This window comes from Homo sapiens, chromosome 22 (genome assembly GCF_000001405.40).
Source record: "Homo sapiens chromosome 22, GRCh38.p14 Primary Assembly".
Taxonomy (NCBI): domain Eukaryota; kingdom Metazoa; phylum Chordata; class Mammalia; order Primates; family Hominidae; genus Homo; species Homo sapiens.
Genome location: NC_000022.11, coordinates 37,601,268 through 37,608,729, shown reverse-complemented (window position 1 = coordinate 37,608,729; position 7,462 = coordinate 37,601,268). Strand labels below are relative to the sequence as shown.

Below are 7,462 nucleotides of genomic sequence, written 5' to 3'. Positions count from 1 at the left end.
ACGAGCTCGCCTAGAGCGTCACCTACTCGCCCAACCCCACCCCCACGCGGCGTCTACGTCGCAGCTGGGACCGGCCGCCTGCTTTTCCGTTCCCGGCGCTCAGGCGGGAGAGGAAGTGGAGATACTGCAGGCTAAGGGCAGCACCATGGAAACCCCAAGGGACGCTCTAACTCGTTCTGCGTCACGGAGATGTCTGTGACCGCCTCCGGAAGAATTCTCTGCGGGCATGTTGCTGAGGGGCTCTGAGGCCACTTCCGGAGCCCTGAGCGGGTACTTCCGCTTAGAGTCGAACGTGGGAGAGTCCCTTAAAAGGGCGATAAGCTACATCCTCATGTACCTTGGCCGCTGTGAAAATGACGAAAATAAATCAGTTTCTTGAGTGCTTACAGTATTCTGGGCATTGTCCTAAGCACTATTTGTAATTAATCCATTTAGTTCTGACTCCTTACAACAAACCCACCAGATAATTAGTCGGCCTGAGGCCGCACAAGTAGCAGAGCTTGAACCCTGTGCCGTCTCCTCCATTCATCCAGCCAACGTTTAATGAACTCTTTGTATTTGCTTTGCTCTGTGATGGGCACAGAAGGAGATAGACAAGGCCAGATATTTATTACAGTGTGATAGGGGAAGCCCACGGGGTAGTGGGAACAAAGGAGGGGGCTCCTCCCCCAAACTGGGGTGGGGTGGGTGGGGGTGTTGTCAGGGGAGGGGTCGTGTCAGGGGAGGGGTCGTGTCAGGGGAGGTTTCAAGAGAAAGTGATACTGTACTTCGCTCAAAGACAGTCGGATTTCTCCACGTAGAGCTGGTGCGAAAAGATATTCAGGGAGAAAAAGTAGGATGAAGGCCGAGGAGGGCGGATCACGAGGTCAGGAGATCGAAACCATCCTAACACGGTGAAACCCCGTCTCTACTAAAAAAAAAAAAAAAAAAAAATTATCTGGGCGCGCCTTTAGTGCCAGCTACTTAGAAGGCTGAGGCAGAAGAATCGCTTGAACCCGGGAGGTGAAGGTTGCAGTGAGCCGAGATTGCGTCACTGCACTCCAGCCTGGGCGGCATAGCGAGACTCAGTCTCAAAAAAAAAAAAAAAAAAAAAAGTAGGATGAGTCCAGGGAGTTGGAAGTATTTCAATACGGCTCCCAGATATCTGCAAATAGATATCTATTTGCAGGAGATATCTTGGAATTAGGCTGGGGCAAGATCACCCAGGTCCCATGTTTTGCTGCCCTTTTTTTTTTTTTTCCCTGTAAGCAACGTTGGAGGTGTCGTTACAGTTTTACGGATGGTAGCAAAGTCAGGCTTTTGTTTTAGAAGGGTCCAGCAGTGGGAGGAAGATAGCAGTGGGAGCCAGACTGGAATCGGGGAGGACAGTACGAACAGACTTCCTAAGCTCGGCGCCTTTTCTCCTGTATCTCCCTCCATCAAAGACCTCCCTCACCTTGTGGCGTCACGACCTGGCGGCGCCTGGTCCCCGACTCACCTGGGTCCATTGCACTCTGTCGCCCCCTCGCGGCCGGCTGGGAAACCGGCCCGTGGCGACCTCTCCAGCGGTCCTGTGCCTGGGAGGGTTAAAGCTCCACTGAGACTAGGGAATCTGGCGAATCCGGTTCTGCCTTGGCGACTGACCTCGATTCACCTTGCGGAACCGCAGTAACCTCATCCAGGAGATGAGGGGGCTGTGCTGGGTCAGTTTTTCCCCTAAACTCAACCATTCAGCGACTGGGATGCTTTTCTAAATTCTCTCCCAAAGGCCATTGAGATTATACAGGGAAGTGATATGTATGTTTATTGCATTCCTCAACAAAAGCTGTAACGTAGTGTATACTTATAGCTTTTTGTTTATGTCTTTTACTACTGAAATGAATTATATATATTTTTTTATTTTATTTTATTTTTGAGACGGAGTCTCTCTCTGTCGCCCAGGCCGGAGTGCAGTGACGCGATCTCAGCTCACCACAACCTCTGCCTCCCGGGTTCAAGTGATTTTCCTCCCTCACCCTCCCGAGTAGCTGGGATTACCGGCGCCTGCCACCACGCCCGGCTAATTTTTTCATATTTTTAGTAGAGACGGGGTTTCACCATGTTGGCCAGGCTGGTCTCGAACTCTGGACCTCAAGTAATCCACCCGCCTGAGCCTCCCAAAGTGCTGGGATTACAGGTATGAACCACTGCGCCCAGCCTATTATATTTATTTTTGAGACAGAGTTTTACTCTGTCGCCCAGGCTAGAGTGCAGTGGCACGATCTCAGCTCACTGCAACCTCTGCTTCCTGGGTTCAAGCGATTCCCCTGCCTCAGCCTCCTGAGTTGCTGGGATTACAGGCATGCGCCATCATGCCTGGCTAATTTTTGTATTTTTAGTAGAGACAGGGTTTCGCCATGTTGGCCAGGCGGGTCTCGAACCCCTGACCTCAGGTGATCCACCTGCCTTGACCACCCAAAGTGTTTGGATTACAGGCGTGAGCCACCACGCCCAGCCTGAGATGAATTATTACTGAAATAAAACTCACATCGCATTTACTGCATTCATTTAGGGACATGTCTGTGCTGTCAGGAGTCACTTTTAAAGACAAAATAGATTTGATTTAGGTGCAAATTCTGACTTCACTGCTTTCTGGATGATCTTGAACAAGTGTGTCTGCAAAATTAATCCCCTACCACATGTTCCCTACCACCTTTTCTGCTGAACTTTTCTCCTTAGCACTTATCTCCACTACATATTTCATTTCTTTGTTGTGTTTTGTGTCTCTCTCCCCCACCAGAATGTAAGCTCCACCACGGCAATGGATTTTATTTAGTTACTTCACTAATAATATATCCCCAAGCCCTAAAACAGTAACTGTTACACAATAAGTATTCAATAAATATGCATCAAATAAATGAATGAATATGCCCAACATTGCACAGTGAGTATGGGGGTTTGGAGAGGCGAGCCAGGCTGTGCTTGTAACAAAGGCTCTAGGCTGTCCCTCTGAGTTCTGGGGAGCAGGGCGTGATAAGGTAGACTCAGGAGCTGTGTCTATGCGTGAAGGGCCTGGCCCAAACTGGGGATCAGGGTAGGAGGTACGGTAGGAGGAACCTAAAGATGGTGAAAGGAAGGAGGACCAACACGGGAAACTTGGAGGAAATGCCTGTGGCAGCCGTTCCCACCCATTCCCCACCATGAGCAAATGTGTTGCTTTGAGAGACTTGAGGAACCCCTGAGAAGGGCAGGTAAAGCTCAGCTATAATCACCTAAGCCATGCCGACCTCTAAGGATTTAACACCTCAGCTCCTTCCTAAGAAAACCCCTGGAACACTGGAAACGTTGGTGAGGGAGGGCTGGGGCGAGGGAATAGGAGCTGGGGAGATGGGCATCCTTGCAAACTTGGAGGAGAGATATGGGGGAGGACATGCAATTCTTTCTTGGAGGAGGATTGTAGAAGGTTCAGGAAACAAACTGAGGCGTGGCCCCAGCCTCAGCCCCTGTGACTCCAGTCAGATCCTGCATGTCCCTTCCGGGCATGGGAACCTCAGGGGAGGGGGGCACAGAGGACCATGGTTGTCATTGTCGCCTTTAATATTCCCACAGACCTCAGAGTTGAATTCTATTCTTCCTGTTTTACAGATGAGAAATCTGAGACTCTGAGCAAGGATGTGGTTGGCCAAGGCCCCCACGTGTCTCCATCACAAGAGCCCACATCAGAGCAAGTCCCTGCCTTCAAAGGATGGAAAGCACAGAAGCAGGCTGGGCGGGGTGGCTCAAGCCTACAATCCCAGCATTTTGGGAGGCCAAGACGGGTAGATCACTTGAGGTCAGGAGTTTGAGACCAGCCTGCTCAACATGGTGAAACCCCATCTCTACTAAAAATACAAAAATTAGCCAGGTGTGGTGGTATGCACCTGTAATCCCAGATACTTGCGAAGCTGAGGCACAAGAATTCCTTGAACCTGGGAGGTTGCAGTGAGCTGAGATCGCGCCACTGCACTCCAGCCTGGGCGACAGAGTGAGACTCCATCTCAAAAAAAAAAAAAAAAAAAAAGGCTAGTGGCTCAAGCCTGTAATCCCAGCACTTTGCCAGGCAGAGGCGGACGGATCACGAGGTCAGGAGATTGAGACCGTCCTGGCAAACATGGTGAAACCCCGTCTCTACTAAAAATACAAAAAATTAGCTGGGCGTGGTGGCGCGTGCCTGTAGTCCCAGCTACTCAAGAGGCTGAGGCAGGAGAATTGCTTGAACCCAAGAGGCAGAGGTTGCAGTGAGCCAAAATTGCGCCACTGCACTCCAGCCCGGGCAACAGAATAAGACTCAGTCTCAAAAAAAAAAAAAAAAGAATAAAAAAAGAAAACACGGAAGCAAACAAAGCACATGGAGGTAATTACGAAGGGACCCAAGTGGGCTAGTGTGAGAGAGTAGAGGCCATATGGGAAGTGGCCTGGACAGGCCTGTTGGAGTTGATATTTAAGCTGAGAAGGAGCCAGCGGTAGAAAGGGTGACTACGCAGACAGCAAGTGCAAAGGTCCTGAGGTCACACAGCTAAGAAGACAGAAAGCAGAATTTGAACTCAAGCTTGATTCTCTGCACCCAAAGTTCATGCATGATCCCAGGAGCCATGATTCCAGATGCTGCTGCTGACTGGGAGAGAGCAGACATCAGAAAGATGACAGAGCCTACGGAATGGATGTATTCAACTCCTCATGTATGTGTGCAGGGGACAGGGAGAAGGGCTCTATTTTCTGAATCCGATCTGGGCCAAGTGGTGTAACCAACATCATTGCCAAAATGTGTGAATTTACACAATAAAAGGCTCACAAAGTATTAAAATTTAGCTCTATTTCCCGGTGAATTTAATAAATTATCTTAATTGAAAAGAATCATGTTGGCTGGGTGCAGTGGCTCACACCTGTAATCCCAGCACTTTGGGAGGCCGAGGTGGGTGGATCACGAGGTCAGGAGTTCAAGACCAGCCTGACCGACATGGTGAAACCTCGTTTCTACTAATTAGCTGGGCGTGGTGGTGTAAGCCTGTAATCCCAGCTACTCAGGAGGCTGAGGCAGGAGAATCGCTTGAACCCGGGAGGCGGAGGTTGCAGTGAGCCAAGATCACACCACTGCACTCCAGCCTGGGTGACAGAGCGAGACTCCGTCTCCAAAAAAAAAAAAAAAAAATTATAATAAATATTTATTTATTATAAATAAAATTAAAAAAGAAAATGATGTTTAAGATGAAAAGAAATATAATTCAGTACAAATATATAAATGCCTGTGTTACAGAAGATTATCTCATTGGTTGTTTGCAGTTAAGCCTTTCCCCCAAAATCTAGATTGCCTGAAACAATGGGACAGCAAAAATAAGACCTGCTACAAGGTCAGCAAGACCCCGTCTCTACAAAAAATTTAAAAAATTAGCCAGGCATGGCCAGGCACAGTGGCTTACTCCTGTAATCCCAGCACTTTGGGAGGCCGAGGTGGGCAGATCACCTGAGGTCAGAAATTCGAGACCAGCCTGGCCAATATGGTGAAACCCCATCTCTACTAAAAATACAAAAAATTAGCCGGGCTTGGTAATGCATGCCTGTAATCCCAGCTATCTGGGAGGCTGAGGCAGGAGAATTGCTTGAAACCTGGGAGGCGGAGGTTGCAGTGAGCTGAGATTGTGCCACTGCACTCCAGCCTGGACAACACAGTGAGACTCTGTCTCAAAAAAAAAAAATTAGCGAGGCATGATGGCGCCTGCCAGTGGCCCCAGCTACTAGGGAGGCTGAGGTGGGAGGATGGATTAAGTCCAGGAGGTTGAGGCTACAGTGAGCCATGATTATGCCACTGCACTTCAACCTGGGCAACAGAGTGAGATCTCAAAAAAAAAAAAAAAAAATCTGCTGCAAGGGAAATCTGGGCCATTTCAGGGTGGGAGTGAGGGGACTGTGGCCACTAATGAAATGGATTTGTTCATTGGGCTTTTCCATGTCCTGGGAAGATTGGGGGGCAGGTGGGAATCTCCCATGTGACAGTTCATTTCACTACCTTTGATCTGATTCCAAATCAGGATAATTTGCTACCATTTATTGACTCATCCATTATGTGCCATGGCTTTTTCATTTATATCATACCAGTACTTTAAGATAGTTATTAGTCTTCTCAAATTACAGAGGAGGAAAGTAGAGGGCCAGTGAGGTTACAGAAACTCTTGCCTGAAGCCATAAATGGGGAGCTGGGGCCAAGTTCTGCTTGATTTCCAAGGTGCTGCAGGCTCTACCCTGCTGGTTTTCTCTGGGTGACCACCATGTAAAAGCCCCTTGGAGAGGCTGGGCACAGGCACAGGGGGCTCACGACTGTAATCCAAACACTTTGGGAGGCCAAGGCAGGAGGATCACTTGAGCTCAGGAGTTTGAGACCAGTCTAGGCAACCAGAAAAAAAAAAAAAAAGAATTAGCTCAGCGCTGAGTGTGGTGGTATGCAACTATAGTCCCAGCTACTCGATACGGCAGGAGGATCGCTTGAGCCCAGGAGGTCAAGGCTGCAGTTAGCCGGCCCAGGAATGTCTGCCCAAAGTTAGAGAACCTTAACCTCTGCTCAGTCCACCTCATGCTCCCCAAGCCAACTGTTCCTGCCTGCTCTAGCTCCCCAAGGACCTTAGATCTGAGAAGAGCTTATGTAGATTCACCTCAAGGTCTGACTACATGGTGTGGACCATCTCTGCTGCAGAGTGGGACTCTAGTCCCCAGCCTCCTCTGCCCCAGCTCTTCATAATATCAGCCTCTCCCTACTCTAGGTGCTCAGGTGTACCGGATGGGGTCATGTTTGCCAGTGACTGAATTGTGTGCCAACCAGTTAGGGGACAGAAGGGGCTGGGGAATGAAGAGTCTGAGCAACTCCCTTTTCCCCACCCCCGGACACCTTTTCATTGGGTAGGAAGATGTAAATTACAGGGGCGTGGACACTGAGGCGGATACTATGCCCTTACCCCACTGGCCAGAAGGAAACTAGAGACAGCGGATTTCATCAATGGGAAGACAATATGCAAATACTGCCCCGTGTTAGTTGGCTGATGGACAGTTGCTACTTTTCATTCTTGTGCTCTAGCACTTGGAGTTTACAGCATGACTCTGAGGTCGAGGTTACACAAGAAAGCAATTAATGATTCAGCGCCCACCTTGTGCCAAGTCCTGTGGCAGGACAGGGGAGGAAGTTGGGGGGAATAAGAGAGGCAAGCCCCTGCCCTGGTAGAATTTACATTCAAGTAAATTACTCAGCCCGTAAATGAACAATATACTTTCAGATTGGATGGTGCCACAAAGACAATCAGCCAAGAAGCTGTAGGCTGGTGGGGCTGTCCGAAGTCCTGTGTGGGTTTATTCAAAGTGCTGCAGAGGAGGGCGAGGGACCAATTACCCGACAGGTGGCTGAATGAGTGTGAGACAGAAGGGGCAGTGAATGGAGAATGAGGAGGAATTTCCTCCCCAAAGGTGGGTTGGGGGAGATGGT

At 49.3% G+C, this 7,462-nt stretch overlaps 4 annotated features.

Moving 5' to 3' along the window:
- Positions 117–286: an enhancer, noted in NCBI's record as "active region_18979". NCBI's record gives its function as "activates an Ori minimal core promoter by ATAC-STARR-seq in GM12878 lymphoblastoid cells {active_cell/tissue: GM12878}" and the evidence as "EXISTENCE:reporter gene assay evidence [ECO:0000049][PMID:35858748]".
- Positions 437–516: an enhancer, noted in NCBI's record as "active region_18978". NCBI's record gives its function as "activates an Ori minimal core promoter by ATAC-STARR-seq in GM12878 lymphoblastoid cells {active_cell/tissue: GM12878}" and the evidence as "EXISTENCE:reporter gene assay evidence [ECO:0000049][PMID:35858748]".
- Positions 1,261–1,720: a transcriptional cis regulatory region, noted in NCBI's record as "candidate enhancer chr22.1757 targeted for multiplex CRISPR interference". NCBI's record gives its function as "positively regulates CDC42EP1 gene expression with high confidence in K562 cells {active_cell/tissue: K562}" and the evidence as "EXISTENCE:mutant phenotype evidence [ECO:0000015][PMID:30612741]".
- Positions 6,874–7,168: a silencer, noted in NCBI's record as "tiled region #7746; HepG2 Repressive non-DNase unmatched - State 1:Tss". NCBI's record gives its function as "represses a minimal TATA promoter and a strong SV40 promoter by Sharpr-MPRA in HepG2 cells {active_cell/tissue: HepG2}" and the evidence as "EXISTENCE:reporter gene assay evidence [ECO:0000049][PMID:27701403]".